Genomic DNA, 16,305 nt, shown 5'->3' on the forward strand with positions numbered 1-16,305 from the left:
CCCTGGATGGGAAGAGGCACCATCTCCGACCCTAACATGGGCACTGGAGACTCCTCCTCAGTGGATGCTTCCAGAAATTGTAGTCAAGGCAGGGTCTGAGGTCCCTTCTAAGGGAAGGCCACAGCCTGCAACTGTGGTCTGCACTCAGTGCCCTAGGCTGTCGAGGGGAAAACTGACTGCCTCATGCTCAAAGACAATCAGAAGTTCAAAGGGGGGAAAGGCATAGCCTGTGGACCACGCAGTGGGGTCGTGGGAAGGCAGGGAGACAGAGTGCTTGAATTCACTGCCTCCATCTACCCCAACCTGTTTCTGTGCTGTGCAGCTGTGCTGGCGGGGACCTTTTGTGGCTCTCCAGGGCCGACTGGAGTGCTGCCTCTCTGGATGTCAGTAATGGGGATCAAGAGAAGAACAGAGAGGCCCTTCCTGAGATGGGGGTGGCTTTGCTCTGCCTAAGAGGAGCAGTGTTGAGAATAACAGAGGTAAAGAGGGTATCTGTGAGTACGCGAGCCCTGCGTGTAGGATGTGTGTGCACATGGCTTGTATTTGTCCCATGTGTGGGAGTGTCAAGATTTAAGGTGCAAAAATCGAGAGAGCACACTCATGTTTCTGAATAAAAAGGAATCTGAGCTGCTGATAACATCATGATCCATGAAGAATATTGTATGTAGCCTCAGGTTAAGGCCAGGATTGGCCAGAGCCCCAGAGGACAGAAATGCTCCAGTCCTCTGCACCCCGGCTGCCCTGCCCCACTGTGCCTCACAGTGACCCTGCACCGCCAATAGCACCCCTTCCCCAAAAACCACAGCCCTTTCCTCAGAAATGTGATACGGTCTCACTCAGACCTGAGAGGAGAAGGAGCCTGGTGTCTGGGCAAAGCAGTAAGAGATCATTCTGGCATTTGTGCCTGGTAATGTGGTCAATGGCCAAAGTCTGGAAGGGAACCTGCCAACAACTAAAGAAGGCTATTAGCCCACCTTTCCTCATGTGTGGTCTGGGGGCAAATGCTGCAGGCTTTCAGTGCTTTGGTGGAGGGAGTTATAGGGAGTCAGAGTGGGGAGTTTGTCAGTGGAGGGTGAGGTGACAAAAGGGTCTGGGCCCTCACAATTGGCCTGGAGCCAGCCCACTTCAGAGCCGAGGAGGAGTGGGCATGGGGCCTCCTGGCTCTCCTTCCCCTCCCGCTTGGTCTTCTCCACCTGCTGCTTCATGCTGCCTGGCACATCCTCCACTTCCACCTGCCAGACGCCCAGCAGAACTGAGACAAGTACTTACAGGAAGGTGAATTTGGAGGTGATGGTGTCCACCAGGCCGCTGCCCCAGGTGCTGTCCACCAGGTGCCATCTTCCCTCCAGGTACACAGCATTCCAGGCATGGTCAAACTCCCCCGAGAAGCTCTGCCCTGTCTGGTAGCCGAAACCCTTGGAGTAGCCAGGCACGGTCATACACTGCACTCCGGCGAGCCTGGGGGCAGGACAGGGGGTCTGAGAGGGGGATCCCGCTGTGGCTTGCCTCCAAGTCTGTCCATGGTCTCAGGTTTCAGGCATGTTTGCTGCCCATCAGTCCTCCCTGTCTATCCTTTTCCTTGCTTCTTGTACTCACATATAAACAGCCTTGATGGCTTTTATCTCGGGGCACTGGGGACAGGGAGATACAGTGCTGGCTGGTCCTGTTGGTACAGACTGGCTGCAGTCTCCGCTGTCTGCTCCTCCCCTGAGACCAACACCATTCAGATCACTTCTGAAATGTTCATCCCTAGAGCCTGCTTGACACGCTCCTCAAGCAGCTCTTCAGGAGGAAAAAATGGGGGCAAGCGTGAGGCTGGCTTCAAGAAAATAGGAGCAGGGGAAATGACAATGTTCCTGCAACAAAACCTACATGTAAGGGGCGAGCACAGCTGCTGGGAGAACCAGGGCGCTTCTGGACATGCGACTGAAGAGATGGGTCTCGTGACATGGGTGAGGTGTTGTGGGGTTGCTGGTTGTGAGGGTACAGAAGCCAAGCCCTACCCCCCTGCTATTCCTCCCAAGGATGCCTGCAGGGGAACCCCGGGGCAGGCGGTGGATGTCTCCAGCCCTGGCCCAGGGAGGACTGGCCAGCTGCCAGTTTGCTCAGGTCTGACTGGTGGGTCTGTCCTTTGTGAACATGGTGCAAGAGCCATCATGGTGCATTAAGGTCATTTGCTGACTGCCTGCCCTGGCCACAATTCTGGAGTCTCCTGTGGCTGTCCTGAGGGGAATGGAAATGCCGACCAGTCAACCTGAGCTTTGGGGTCCTTTTGACATTGTGCTCCTTCACTGCTCATAGTAGAGCTGGCACTGCTTTCTGGGAACCTGGATGGGAAGATGGGCATGGGTCACCTCTGGGGAAGATATAAAATGAGACATTTGGAGCTAAAACCCTGAGGCCCAGGCCTGGGCTGTGGGCACCAGTCCAAGGCCAAAGCAAGACCCCTGGGTGTCCTTTCATGGCCAGCTGGTCTTGCTCCTCAGCAGCCCTGCTCCCCTGAGGACAGCCAAGGGGATGGACTGTGCAGACAATTTCACTGCTAGTCTGACCTAGGGACATCCCATGCTAGCCCTCCTAGGGCCTTTGTGTAAATTAGAAAAGGTTCCCCTTCCTCAAGACATTTTCCTTGCACTCATGGAAAATTGGTGTAATAGATACACAACCTGTGAAACCGAGGATGTGCTTGATGCCCCTTTGATGGGGCTCCTTTGAGTACCACACAAGCTGCTCAGTCCCCAACTCAGTGGTGACCCTGTGCTGTACTCAGCTGAGCTGAGTCTGCAGTCCAGGGTGTTGGTGGGGTCTGTTTCAGTGAGATGGGCCCATGGGGCTGGGCCCTTCCACAGACCAGGGCTGCAGCCTCAGTTGCTCTAAACAAGAGGGCCACGGAGCCTCCCAGGGGAATGGGGTGAAATGGCCATGCATCTACTATAGGAATTGGGGGAATCTTCCTTGTAAAAATGAACATGTAATTTAAAATTAGCAAAATATTGGATTAAATATTACTAATACATATCACTTGCTGAGAGAGTCATTGGGATCAAATGTGATGTCCTGAGGGTTAACAGATTCTACTTTCCCAGCCATCAGTGTTTCTTCACATGCATGCAATGATGAGGTGTTACCATGTCTGCCTTAACCTCTGCTCACCTGTGGAAAGTCCGGGCCACTAGTGCTGAGGTTCCTTAGGGGCTTGGAAGTTTTCTAGCCCCCGCCCTTTTGCCTGTTGCTTCACAAAAGGAGGTTCAGGCCTCCTAAGCCCTCTAAGGAATCCCATAAGAACATACCAGCTTGGCTCTGTGGGATGGCTTCTGGGAGCACTTGAGGGCATGGGGACAGACTGCAAGAGAAACTAGATCCCAGTGTTGTGATTTTCTGCTGGCAAAGGCCATAAGCCACTCCAGGGCAGAAGGAGGCAGTAGCTGAGGAGACCGTGGAAGGAAGGGGAGAAGGGGCAGCCTGCATACCTGGAGTGCTCTCTCCTCATTTCTCTGCAGTGCAGAGAGCAGAAGGTGGTGGGGAGTGCTGAGGGGATGCAAGGCTGAGGGGGTTGTTCTCAGGATGAGGAAGTCTGGATGTGTTTATAGTCTGAGAGGAAACAGCTAGCAGAGAAGGACCAGAGGAAAGCAAGGCCAGAGGAGTGGGTAGAGGTGTAGGGGTGGGATAGACATTCTATAGGAGGTGGGGCCCCATCTACTCAGAGACTGGGTGAGGAGAAGAAATGTTGTGAAAAATATTTAGTGAGCTAAGCAGTGCCCCTGACACGATGTGAACTGACAACAGCATGTCAATCTCTCCAGTCAGCACAATGTCACGCCGATGCTGTGTGTGTGTGTGTGTGTGTGTGTGTGTGTGTGTGTGTGTGTGTTGCCTGCATGCACAGAGAAGGAGGGGCAGGGAGTGAGAGGGGGAGAGATGGCACAAAAGGCACCTGATCTTTTGGCAATGGGATTATAGGTGATTTTAATGTTTTTCTTGAAACTTCTCTGTATTTTCTAAATTTTTAATAATGATTATGTGTTACTTTGAGAATTGGAAAAAAAGCCATAAATACTACTTAAAATTATATTCTTCAGGAAATTACTTTCCATTGCTGCCTAGAATGTCTGTGCATATCACTTTCTAGGATGATGTGGAGGGATAAGGGGAGTCCTGGGAACAATGGGGCTTGGAGAATGGCTCGTTTTGCATTAAGGTGAACTGATTTAGCGGCGCTGTGGACCTCTGGACATGCTGCCCACTGATGCTTGTCCTCTGCTCAGAGCCACCTGGAGTCAAGGAAGGAAGGAGAGGAATTTAGCATTTGTGCAGCCTCCAGGCGGTGGGGTAAATCAGAATGGGTATGGAATGTCCTCCTGGGAGAAGCCATGTCCTAGGCCGTGTGCCCAGGGGGACATCCTGCCCTCAAGGGAGTGAAGTGGAGGCAAGATTGGAAAAACCAAGTCAGGGAGCAGCAGCGAGAGCCTGCCCCAGCCCTGGAAAGGAGAGCAGGAGGAAGAAGCAAGGGGCAGGGATGTCCACCTGTACTGCTCTGAGTGGGGGTGATGGCCCCTGAGCCAGGAAATAAGGTCACCTCCCAGGTCTGGTGGTCACCTCTAGAGTGACCTTGCCAGGCTTATCATGGGCAGAGAGAAATGTTGGCATTAAATGATCTCCAGGGGTTGATTCTTCTCTGACAGGCTGAGGAGAAGCTGGGAAGGCTGTGGGGAATGCCTGGGGCAGAAAAAAGATGAAAATATAAACTCAGTTATAAGCTTATGCCATGCTTGACTCTGATATGAGGATATTTTATTACCTGGCAGCAATGTGCCAGATGAATTGGACAAAGAAGGTCATAATGTAAAGCATTATTGTTAATATGCCATAATTCTCATGCAAAATCCTCTGTATGTATAAGACGATGATTGTGGAACCCACAGGAGTTTTGTCTCCAGCCACTCTTGCTAGCCAGGATGAACCACAACTCTTTCATGTCATCAAAAGATCACTGGCCGCACACACTGTGTATAAAGCACTGTAGCAGGGAATGCTATAACATGACATGGCACCATACAACGCAACACAATGTAACAACATAAAAAAATATCATATCCCCAAAATAAGGCTCAGTGGCTGCCCTAGATGTGCTGATAGTTGGAAGGAGGGTGGATATGGGAACTGTCACTGGAACTGTCTCCAGAACTTTGCTTATAAAATCCCAGTCTATAAGCAAAGACCTGGAGAGCCCAAAGGTGGAGGAATTAACTTTGCAGGCAGGAGCTGAGAGAGCACGGAAGGAGGGGCCGAGGACTAGAAACATTTCCACCTCCTGAAGAGCTCCGACCAGCCATCCCAGAGCCTAAAATATCACCCAAGGAGATTTATTTAATGACCTCAGACTGCAGAATCTTCGCTTCTACTTTACAGAATTGACAACCTCAATTTTGCCTCCATAGCTCATGGCTGATATATATCCCAAGCCACAATGAAAACATGGATGTAAGATGCCCTGAACAAGCTGCCAAGGAGCACCCTGGAGGATTTGGAGAAAGCTGCAGCCCCCACTCTCCAGCAATATCAGGGCTCAGGGACCCAATCAGAGAAGCCCCAAGGGCTGCAAAGGACCACATGGCCACCAAATGTGGCCTGATGGGAAGAGACTGAACAGAGGGGCAGCCAAGCAGAAGGCAATGTCATTACCTGGGTTACCCTTGATGAACCCTGAAGCTGCTGAGTCTTCTATGAATGCATTATCCTTATTATTTAAAAAGATCTGTGTGTTCCAGTTTGGTGCACTGTATCCTAGTGTATTAATTTGGTATTATTTTATACTGAGATGGTCCAGGCCCTGCCATAGGAACTGTATGATGCTCCTACAGTCAGTACCAAGGCCAGGCCCCAACAGCTGTGTGGCTGAAATATCTGGGTGGACAGGTGCACCCTACACCAATGGGCTCTGACCGCAGTAGACTTTCCCAAATCTGATCACCTCTCCTAGGATGTGTGAGCCAAGTGAGGGAAAAAGGGAGGGAGTGTGCCTGTAGGAGAGACTATGAAGTATGCTTTTCTTTTGGTATTTTGTTGAAAATACTGTGGTTTCTATACTGCAGCAGGACAAACAAACCATGACTTATCTTTCACAATTTATGTACTTGATTTCTTATAATCTGACAGTGTGTTTATATTTCTCCCATGTGCTCTCTTTTCCCTTTTCTTACACACTACCCTTACAGCTACGTCAATAACTAGTAATCTTGATAATAATTCTCTCTCCAGGGCCCCATGCAGAACCTCATGAGACGTGACTTCAGAGGCCTCCTCTCTGAAGGTGAGGGAGGCGTCAGCTGTTCAGAGAGAGAGGCTGCCTTGCCTGGGGACACACAGCTAGCCAGTGGCCGGAGCAGCAGTGGATGCAGTTGTCCTGATGCATAGTTCAAGAAGCTTTTTTTTTTTTTTTTTTTTTCACGTGTGAAAACATCTATTGGGAAAATGGAAAAATCATTTGACCTCATATTCCTCATAGCTGACATGGTAAGTTAATTTTTTTTCTTTTTTCTTTTTATTTTATTTTATTTTTGTTATTATTATACTTTAAGTTTTAGGATACATGTGCACAATGTTGCACCAGCTCTTTTGTAAATCAAGATTTTGTTTTGATCTATACACTTGTAGGTGGTATAGAGAGTGAAATGGAAAGGTGGTTTGCACCAGTGACATAACTCATCTTTGTGAGTGCCATCCTTTGGTGTAGCTATAAGGGTGGGGGAGCTAAGATGTCCCTTTCAGAGGCCTTATACACCAGCATCAGATTTGGTGATAATTTAAGGTTATCCAATGAATCTGCATCTCCCAGAAGGCTTAGATGGCCACTGCCTATCTTTTGGGGCCTTTGGAACCAAGTGATGTTTTAGGATTATAGGGGACATACTGCTAACCAGAAGCAGCCATCTGACTGCACACACTCCTGCCCCTGCTCTCAGTGACAGCTGGAGGATGAGTGGAAAGCCAGCTGACATCTGATTGGTGACAACCAACTCCCTCAGTGTCAGGGCTCAAACTCGTAATAAGTGCCTGGCTTTATCCAACGTCTCTGAAACCTGCTAGCTGGTGATGCTAAAGCCATGCTAACGGGAAGAGAATTTACTGGAGGCCGACTCAAGAGCAGCAGTCTGGGGAATTAAGCTTGGCTCCTGCGAGGAAATTAGGCAGAATCAACTAAGGATGCAGGCAACTGAGGCAAAAAGAGAGACATTAATGTTGGATGATAGAAAGTCAGAAGGAAACTGGACCAGCAGTTACAAGCTATAGCATTAACCAAAAAACCCCACATCAGTGACTTGGGACAGACAGAAGGAACTGAATGATGTTGTGAAAATATCTGAATTCCTCCCCAAATTACTTTATTAAATCAGTCTTTAATGAGACAATTTCAGGGAGGTGGAATGGACTGGCAAAAAGTAATGATGTCCACCCTGACAACCAAGAAGGGATAAATCAGCAAGTGCGGATTATATGTCCTCAGTTATTAAGGAATTAGCTAATTAATTTACCAAACTTTTGGCAGTTATTTTAAAGGTAAAGAGAGTTAGTAGAGGGATGCATAGATAGGTTACTGATCTTTAAAGAAACAGTTAAAGGAATTCAGGGGACCGTGAGCTATTGCTACACATCTCAGGCAGTGTGAGGAATTTTGCACATGGTAATCACCATGTTGGAACTAATTTTAAATGATGCAAAATGTTAGGGAGAGTTTTAATGATAAGCTGCAGGCCAGAATAGGGCCATTGTTAAGTATCTGGACCAGGGCAAAAAGCTGACAGTTTCACTCAAGGCAAGTGTCAATTTTCTGAATCTATGTAGGCTGGCAGAGTCTGTAGGAAAACTCCACAGAGCAAAAGGACTCCAATCAATACTCAAGAAAGACAAGATAGGTCAAAAAACACCCACCCCAAAATCGGGTTGGTAACCCCCAAACTGCAGTCTCATTGAGTCCTATAGCCCTGCCAGGTAGGCAATCTAGTCTCCAATATATAGATGAGAGCACTGAGGCTGCAAGAGGTTAAGGGCCTTACCACAAAGAACAAAACTAATAGGTGGTAAATTAAAAACTGGGAGCCAGGTCTTTCTGGCTTTAACTTTGGCACTCCTTCTAAAGGATGCTAGGATGCTTATACTGGATCAAGGAGGCGATACCACTCTAAGTGGTAGACCCAGGTCTTTCTAGCTTCAAATCTGGCATTCCTTCTACAGTATGCTAGAAAGCTTATACTGGATAAAGAGGAATATATCCTGGAACTTGGAAAAAATGCTAAGCATTTTTCAAATTTGTAAAATCAGAGGAAAATAATCATGTTCTGAAAGATGCTAGGCACAAATGGAGCTAAGAGACTTGTGGCTATTTCATCAGTTAAAAGAGAATTCCACATTCCATTCCACATAAGTCTGCTAGGAATATCCTGTCATTTCTATATATGTCTATTGAGGGCCTACTGGGTGTAGGATTCTGAGATGGGTATTCGCAGGGGAGGTAGAAGGAGAGAGGAGATAAAGGCAAATATAGACGTATACAATCGATAGGATGTATGACAACAACCGAGCACAGGTAATTCCTGTATGCACAGAACACAGTCTGGAAAGTAATATGACCAAATGTTACCAGTGTTAGCTGTAAGTGGTGAGATTCAGAGTAATAATTTCTTTTTTGCTTTAGTGCATTTTATAAACCATCTACAATGAATGGTATTTTTTAAATTTAAAAATGTTATTAATTGAAAGCATAAGGCAACACATGAGTTTGGTGTGCAACTGGGCTGGGGGTACAAAGGAAGGGGAAGGTTGTGGGCTGTCCTGGAGCGGGGCCTGGAAGGAGCTCTGGGGAGAGGGAGCAGGTGTGCATGCAGAGGTGGTCAGGAAGGTGGTGTCACACAGTGCAGGGCTGGAAACTTGGCTGAGGTCAGATTTTGGAGGACTTTGCTAGATAGTGTGATCCTTTAGTGATGTTAGGAACCCAGGACCAGGGAAGCCTGGACAGAGAGGCCAGTGAGGATCCAGGTTCCTGGAGAGGCCTGCAGGCAGCAGGAGGTATGCTTGGGTCTGGGGTAGGGGGTGGGAAGCAGCCTGGGTGGCATATTCTGTACCCTGACCCACCGTGGCTGCGTCTGGGGCTGTGGTCTCAGGGATTGGCCTTGAAAGTGAGAAAAGGGAAGTACAGGAAGCAGAGCAGGAGGCTTAGAGTAACTCAGCAGCCGGGTAGGTGCCTGTGCTTGGCAGTGGTGATGGGGGCAGGAGGCAGCACAACAGGGGGTTTGGGCCAGGAATAGGTTGCATGCACCCAGTGCTCGGCAGCTGCCGCCTCTGCAACACTGAGGCCATCACAACTGCCTGCCTGTGGACTAAGTGTTACACTTGGTTTGATGAATTGCCACCTGCAGTTCTGGTGGGCTGACATCTGGGTGCCTAAGAAGACTCACTCCCAGAAGCCTAGAAAGACAGTGGGCCGCTGTTCATCCACCCCCTGGGGAGGGGTTCTTTGATGGCCCCAGGGCTAGCTGACTGTTTTCTGGAGGAACCCAGCAGACCTCAGAGGGTAGGCTCAGGAAGCTGTGGGGGTCAGTGGCCATCCCCTCCCCCCACCCCACATCTTGAGCCTGTTTTGAGTCACTGGGAACTGGCAATGGCCTGTTCTCCTGCTCAGGCCAGAGCTGTCACCCACCCCAGCAACCTGGCCATATGCCCACTCCCAGAGTGCTGAAAATGGAGCCCAGCGACTCCAAGAGTAGCCGCTTCGTAGTGATTCAGCTGTCCAACTGACAAATCTTTTCAGGTGGGAGATCTTTTGTTTCCCCCAAAAGAGGCTCCCTGTGTCAGCCCTGAGGACAGCCTTTCACAGTCCCCTTGGCATCTGCAGTCACTGTCCTCCCGCTCCCAGGCCTGCCATTCTTTTAACCTTCAGCTGCATAGAGATGGGAGAAGGCGGAAAAAGGGCTTTTTATAACCAAATTATCTCTGTGCATTCATCTACCATTATGTTAATGCATCGCGAAGCCCGGCAGATGGTACAAAGTCAATTATGCTGGTGTTAAAAAGGGAGAAATTGACCTTTTCAGGACTCACTTGGGTTCCAGAGCAGAGTTTGTAAACTCAGGTTTCAGGCCTGGCATGTGGGCAAAGGCACATGGCACTGTGGAAGAGGGAGAGGGATGGGTCCGGTGGTCAGCATGGGGACTCCTGTCTCTCGTACCTGCACATTCTCTCGAAGAGGCCAGCATAGCCATCACAGTTGGTCTTCTGGGTCCGCAGGATGTCAGTGGGTTTGAAGGCTTGGCGGTCCTTCTCCTGAGCAGCTGCAATGTCATACTCTATAGGGCAGGTGAGGGGATCATGAAGAGCTTGAGCCTGGGAGGCGAGAAGACTCCACCCCAACCCCCAGCTGTGCTCTGGCCATCACCAGCCCCAGGAAACTACAGTGGGCTGAATGGAACTACAGCCCCAGCACAAATGGGATCTGGGAACTATCACCTCTTTGTGCAAGTGGTGAGAGGAAGAGCAGGCCTTGGCAGAGGGGGCCACCTGGCTCCCCAAGCCTCTGAGGAGGGGCTAGGAGGAGAAGGGACCAGGACAGTGCAGAGGCATGGGGCTCTCTCTGCTAATCCCCACCACACAGCTCTGCACACATTTCCAGTGAAATCACTCATCCCGTTTTCCTGCAGCCCGAAGGCCTCATGCTGACCCATGGGGCACACAGAGCTCGTCTCCAAGTGGAGAAGGCTGCTCTCCCACAGCCTGTCACTTCACTAAGGAGGGGATGAAGACATTGCAAAGAAGCCTGAGGCCTGTGGTGAGGCCCTAAGGCAGAAGTCTCTGTAGCTATTGAGGACCCATTGAGACTGTGTATGTGTGTGTTGGCATGGGGATAGAGCAGTAACGAAGTCCTATAAATGTCCCATTTCTGACCCTGCCCCTTTAAGGCACAGGCACAGCTGGTGGAGTTGGGATGGGAGCTGAGCTGGGGGTCTCTCAAGTCCTCAGTTTGGACCTCCTACCTGTGCCAGGCGAGCTCATTCTCTAAGCTGCATTCCAAACTGTTGTTCCAGAAGAATAAAAGAAAAGCCCAGTGGCAGCAGGTCGAGAAAGACCCGGCTGGTCTTTATGTCAAAGGACTAGGAGTCCACCTCGTGATCTGGCCCTGCCCACTCTCATTTGTGTTTGCAAGGCGGCAAGGGGCAGCATCCCTTAGCCACCACCTCTGCAGCTCTGCTTGACCCGGGAGCTTCCCAAGGCCATCCTGTGGAGAGCTGTGGGCAGCTGCATAGGCCCAGGTCCCTCAGGTGGCTCCAAGAACCTTGGAGACTGCGCTGGGACCAGTGGCCAATGTTGCTAGTGTGGGAGCAGGAAGTGGAGAACCCGCTTTTCCTGGCCCTGGTATTTAATGAACCCTCTGGTATTGCAATCACTTTTCAAACAGCTGCAACTTCTCCCCACCAATGGTAATCCTTCTTGGAGATGACCTGTTGCTCTGGGCTCTCATCTCTGTGGAGATAAGACAGAGGGAAGGCTGGGACAGAGGGAAGGCTGCTGCTGGATGAAGTTTCCAGCTCTGGGCACTGGTTATGGGCAGAAGGCTGCAAGGGATTCTCCTCCAACTAACTTTCATGGAGACTCATAGCACATGGTGAATTTTATCCTCCTTGGTTACTCTCTGGTTCATCAGTCCAGTCTTCTGGGTCCCTGTCCCCCACCTTTCATGTCACTCTGCACACGTGAATAAGCTGATAGGAGCAGAGGCCTGCAGGGAATGGAAGCAAGGGATTCTAGAGCCAGAAATTCCACAGGGGGGCCTACCTATGTGATGGCAGATCCAGATCCAGATGGCGCGGACCCTTTCCAGGTCAGTGTGGGCCTCCTGGAGCAGGTCACTCACCAGTTCGTCTAGGCCACTCTTGGCTGTCACCTGGGGAGCAGGAAGGGTGTGCTGTATTAGGGCCTCGAGGAGGGGCTGTTGGGGGCCCAGCATCTTGCACCTACAGCCAGTGCTGCTCTTCCTCCAGGCAGAGAAGCTGGAGGAGAGGTCCTGAGGGGCAAAGGCTGGCTGAGGACAAATTGGGAGGAGGTGGGGGAAGTTGGACAGGGCAGGTGGTGCTGACCAGCTCAATCACAGGCCCTAGAGCCACCACAGCTTTTCTCTGCAGATCTGGGGGCTAGCCAGGCAGGCATCTGGACAGCTGTAGCAGCCCCTGGTCGTGGTCAATACTAAGGATTTAACATAATCCTTATCAAAATTCCAATAGCTTTTTGTGCTGAAATGGAAAAGTCAGTTCTCAAATTCCTATAAATTCCAAGGGGCTCCAAGCAGCCAAAACAATTTTGAAAAAAGAACACATTTGAAGGACACAAGTTCCCCATTTTCAAAACTTACTGTAGAACTACAGTAATCAAAACAGTTTGATACTGCCATGAAGATTATATAGACAAATGGAATACAACTGAGAGTCCAGAAATGGACCCACATATCTACGGTTAGTGGATCTTTGACAAGGGTGTCAAGTCCATTCAGTGGGGAAAGAATAGTCTCTTTTACAAATGGTGCTGGGACAATTGAGTTTCCACATGCAAAAGAATAAACTTGGATCTCTACCTCATGCCATATACAAAAACAACTCAAAATGGATCAGTGACTCAAATATAAGAGCTTAAACCATAAAACTCTCAGAAGAAAACACTGGGGTTAATCTTCATGACCTTGGATTTGGCAATGAATTCTTAGATATGGCACCAAAAGCACAAGCAACAAAGGAAAAAACAGATAAAAGGGCATTCGTGAAAATAAAAAATTTCTGTGCATTAAAGGATATCATTTAGAAGGCAGAAAGAAAACTTACAAAATGAGAGAAAACATTGCAAATCATATATCCAATAAGGGTTAAATATCCAGAATATAAAAAGAACTCCTACAACTCCACAAAAACAAAACCAACCCAATTCAAAAAGGGGCAAAGGACTTGAACAGATATTTCTCTAAAGAAGATATACAAATGGCCAATAAGCACATAAAAAAAAGCTCAACATCCTTAGTCATGAGAGAAATGTAAATCAAAACCACAATGAGATAGCACTTCAGACTACTAAAATGGCTATTGAAAAATGAAACCAGAAAATAATGTGTTGGCAAGAATATGGAGGAATTGGAACTCTTGTACGATGCTAGTGGGAATGTAAAATTGTGCAGCTGCTGTAGACAAATTTTGACAGTTTCTCAGAAAGTTAAATGTAGAATTATCATATGATCTAGCAATTTCAGTCCAAGGTACGCAACCAAAAAAACCGAAGGCAGAGACTCAAACAGACATTTGTTTCCCCAATGTTCATTGCAGCACTATCCACAATAGCCAAAAGGTTAAAAAACATCCATCCATGAATGAAAGGATAAATAAAATAGAGTATATACCATATATACATGGGAATATTATTCAACTACAAAAAGAAGGAATTAAGTTCTGTATATGCTACGACATGGATGAACCTTGAAAACATGATGCTAAGTGACATAAGCCAGACACAAAAGGACAAATACTGTATGATTCCACTTATATGAAATATCTAGAATAGGAAAGTTCATAGACAGTAAGTAGAGATTACCAGGGGCTGGGGGAGGAGAAATGGGAATTTCATTGCTTAATGGGTAGAGTTTCTGTTTTGGGTGATGAGAATACAACATTGTGAATATAATTAATGCTAGTGAATTGTACACTTAAAAATTATTAAAATGGCAAATTTTATGTTATTTTATGATAAAAAAAGAACAAATTAGCTTTCTTCGTAGGGGCCCTCAGGGAAACAGGGCTGAGGTTGCTGGAAAGATGGCTCTGACCATGTTTAATCTCTGTAGAGAAGCTGGGCCACTAGGTCCTGCAATGGTGCCCACATTCCCCTCAGCTCCCAGCTTGAGGGTACTCCAGGACCTTGTTTTTAGCTGGAAACATCTCACTGCTCACAAGAGATTCCAGGACTCACCTGCTGACCACTGGCCCAGCACACTGGCACTCTGACCTCTGGAGACCTCTGGACCCCTGTTCTACTCTCTCAGCTGCTTTCTGTTTCATTTTCTTCTACGTCCAGCTCCAACACCGCAGACTTTGTCCTTGTCCCTCTCCCAGGGCCCCGAATGGTACTCAGCATTGCAGGCCTGCACTGCAGCCTGGAGTCCTGACTTAGCCTTCTACTTCAGTGCCATGGCTTCTGGTCCTTTGGTCCCCACCTCCTGGCCCCACCTGGGCCTGGCTTGCTCTGGCCACTCCCTGCTCTGTGGCTGGGTCTCTGGCCTCCGCTGGCTTCCTGGCACTGTTCTCTGAGTATGGCCAGCAGCCTGACCCATCCCTTCCGATGGCCATTACAAAAATCTGGGCCCTTTGCAGACTCCAGACCCCACCCACTTTCCTCATTCACAGGTAATGGCCTGGCCTCCACTTCACGGCAGGCCAGGTGGGACTTCCTCACTAAGAGTCTCATCCTCCCCTCCTGCTTCAGCCTTCTCTATGTCTCAGGTCTTCTGCCTTTACAGGGACTTCCCTTCTTCAATCAATGGCCTCCTTCTCGTATGTCCTCACCTCCTCCCTTCCTTTCCTGGCTGCTCCATGCCCCCTTGTTCCCCCACCTTAGGATGCCCCCCTACTCTCCTCAGTTCTGCTCATGTCTAGCCTCCCCGTCTCTGCAGGCTCCTGTGGGATCTTCTCCTCACTCCCCACTACTCACCTCCTGCTTGCTCTTCCACCCACCTGAGGACTGAGGCCTCCAGCCCCTGTGCACTGCCCCTCTGGAGGTAAGGTGCACTTTGATGCTGCAGTAGCCGACATGGCGTCTGTCCTGATCTCACTTGAGCAGATAGCACAGCTCACGCTGTTGACCACGTCTGCCCCAGGGAGCCCCTCCCTGGACCTTCCAGAACTCTGACCCTTCCTGGCCTTGCCCCAGCCCCTTTGATGGCTCCAGGCCCTATGGGCTTCCTCCACCCCTGCAATATGATGCCCGTCCTATGGCTTCAGCTCTTAACGAAATCTGATGACTACCAATCAGTGTCTCCAGCCCAGACCTTTCCAAGCTTGTATATTTGGCTGCCCAGGGGGCATTTCCCCTGGATGTGCCACAGACACTAGAGCCCCTCATATCCCAAACACACTCATCCCCTAAAACTTGCTCCTTCTCCCTTGCTCCTCGTGAGGAGGTACTGATGCACCCTCCAGGAGTCAATCCAGCTATCTGGGAGCCCCTCTCCCCCACCTCCCACCCACTCCACACCCACTGGTGTTAGAGTTCTTCCCCTCTGCCCCTAGCTCAGGATTGGCCTTTCCACTCCTCTGTTTCCTCAATGTCTCCACTTAATCCAGGTCATGTCTTCTGCCAGGACAGAAGGATGTCCTCAACTTATGTCTTTGCTTCTCATCTGGCTTTCTTGATCCATGCACTCACCATCCACTCATTATTTCAACAAACAAGGTTCCTGAGTACCTATAAGGTGGCCTTTTTAAGACCACTTAATGTCCTGACTTCACAAAAGTGTTCAACACCTTGTTCCTCCTATCAGACTCTCTGTGCTGAAGCTCCTGCCTGGCTCCAATGACTTCCATATGTCCCTAGTGTTTCAGCTCTTCATCTGCTCCTCCCACCTGCACCTGAGACATGCTCAGGGCCAGAGGCATGAGAGCATGGCAGCTCATGCACTTCAGAGGTGAGCACAGCTGTGATTATAATGGTCCTGGCCATCTGCATCCACGGTCCTCCCATCCTCTCCTCCCTTCTTCCATGGACTGGAGGCAGGCATAGCTTAGGAGCAGAAATGCCAAAAGGGGCATGGAGAAGGCAGGTCAGGGCTGGCCAGAGGGGCTTGCCAATGAAGAGCTCCAGGGTGTGTTGTATGGGGTGGGAGCAACAGGATCGTGGGTGGGCTGGGGGATGGAATGGCCTCTGGCTCTGGGCAGGGGCTGCTGCCTAGTGCCTTCTGTCCCCACCCATATGCTATGAAAAGGCATTCCAGGGCCATCCAACCAAGCCACTCAGGATATGTTCAGGAGGTGTCTGGGGAGAGGTTTTGCTGCCCTAGAACTCTAAGCCACCTTGAAGGGGCCCATGGTCAGAGCGGCCAGCTGTCCTACCTGTGAGGCGTAGATATCCAATTTCTCAAACTGCTGCAGGTCCAGGGACATGGATTTCAGGCTAGATCGATCCCAGGGGTAGGCTGGAAACACAGGGCACCTTGGTCAGCAGCTGAGACCCACTGAAGAGGGCTGCCTGGCCTAGGCCTTGCTGTCTCTTTGAGGAGCTGTGACTGTC

General features: G+C 49.5%; 2 protein-coding genes across 13 annotated transcripts in view, besides 1 other annotated feature; one reads left to right on the forward strand and one right to left on the reverse strand.

Moving 5' to 3' along the window:
* CEP63 (centrosomal protein 63) overlaps positions 1-16,305 on the forward strand; it is a 296,836-nt gene that overhangs the window by 123,202 nt on the left and 157,329 nt on the right. For all 8 annotated transcript variants that reach the window (XR_007095732.1, XR_002959589.2, XR_007095733.1 and 5 more), the window contains one exon: positions 6,259-6,513. The gene's annotated coding sequence lies outside the window, so the exon portion shown is untranslated. The remainder of the gene's footprint in view (positions 1-6,258; positions 6,514-16,305) is intronic.
* Positions 1-16,305, reverse strand: part of KY (kyphoscoliosis peptidase) — a 51,100-nt gene that overhangs the window by 9,003 nt on the left and 25,792 nt on the right. For all 5 annotated transcript variants that reach the window (NM_001350859.2, NM_178554.6, NM_001366276.1 and 2 more), the window contains 4 exons: positions 16,128-16,210; positions 11,824-11,932; positions 10,223-10,340; positions 1,270-1,458 (listed from right to left, as the gene is read on the reverse strand). In NM_001350859.2, the coding sequence (NP_001337788.1) occupies positions 1,270-1,458; positions 10,223-10,340; positions 11,824-11,932; positions 16,128-16,210 (499 nt within the window). The remainder of the gene's footprint in view (positions 1-1,269; positions 1,459-10,222; positions 10,341-11,823; positions 11,933-16,127; positions 16,211-16,305) is intronic.
* Positions 10,486-10,986: an enhancer, noted in NCBI's record as "H3K4me1 hESC enhancer chr3:134338253-134338753 (GRCh37/hg19 assembly coordinates)". NCBI's record gives its function as "activates a minimal SCP1, AML or CMV promoter by ChIP-STARR-seq in primed H9 embryonic stem cells {active_cell/tissue: H9 hESC(primed)}" and the evidence as "EXISTENCE:reporter gene assay evidence [ECO:0000049][PMID:30033119]".

The sequence above is a fragment of the Homo sapiens genome, chromosome 3 (genome assembly GCF_000001405.40).
Source record: "Homo sapiens chromosome 3, GRCh38.p14 Primary Assembly".
Lineage (NCBI taxonomy): Eukaryota > Metazoa > Chordata > Mammalia > Primates > Hominidae > Homo > Homo sapiens.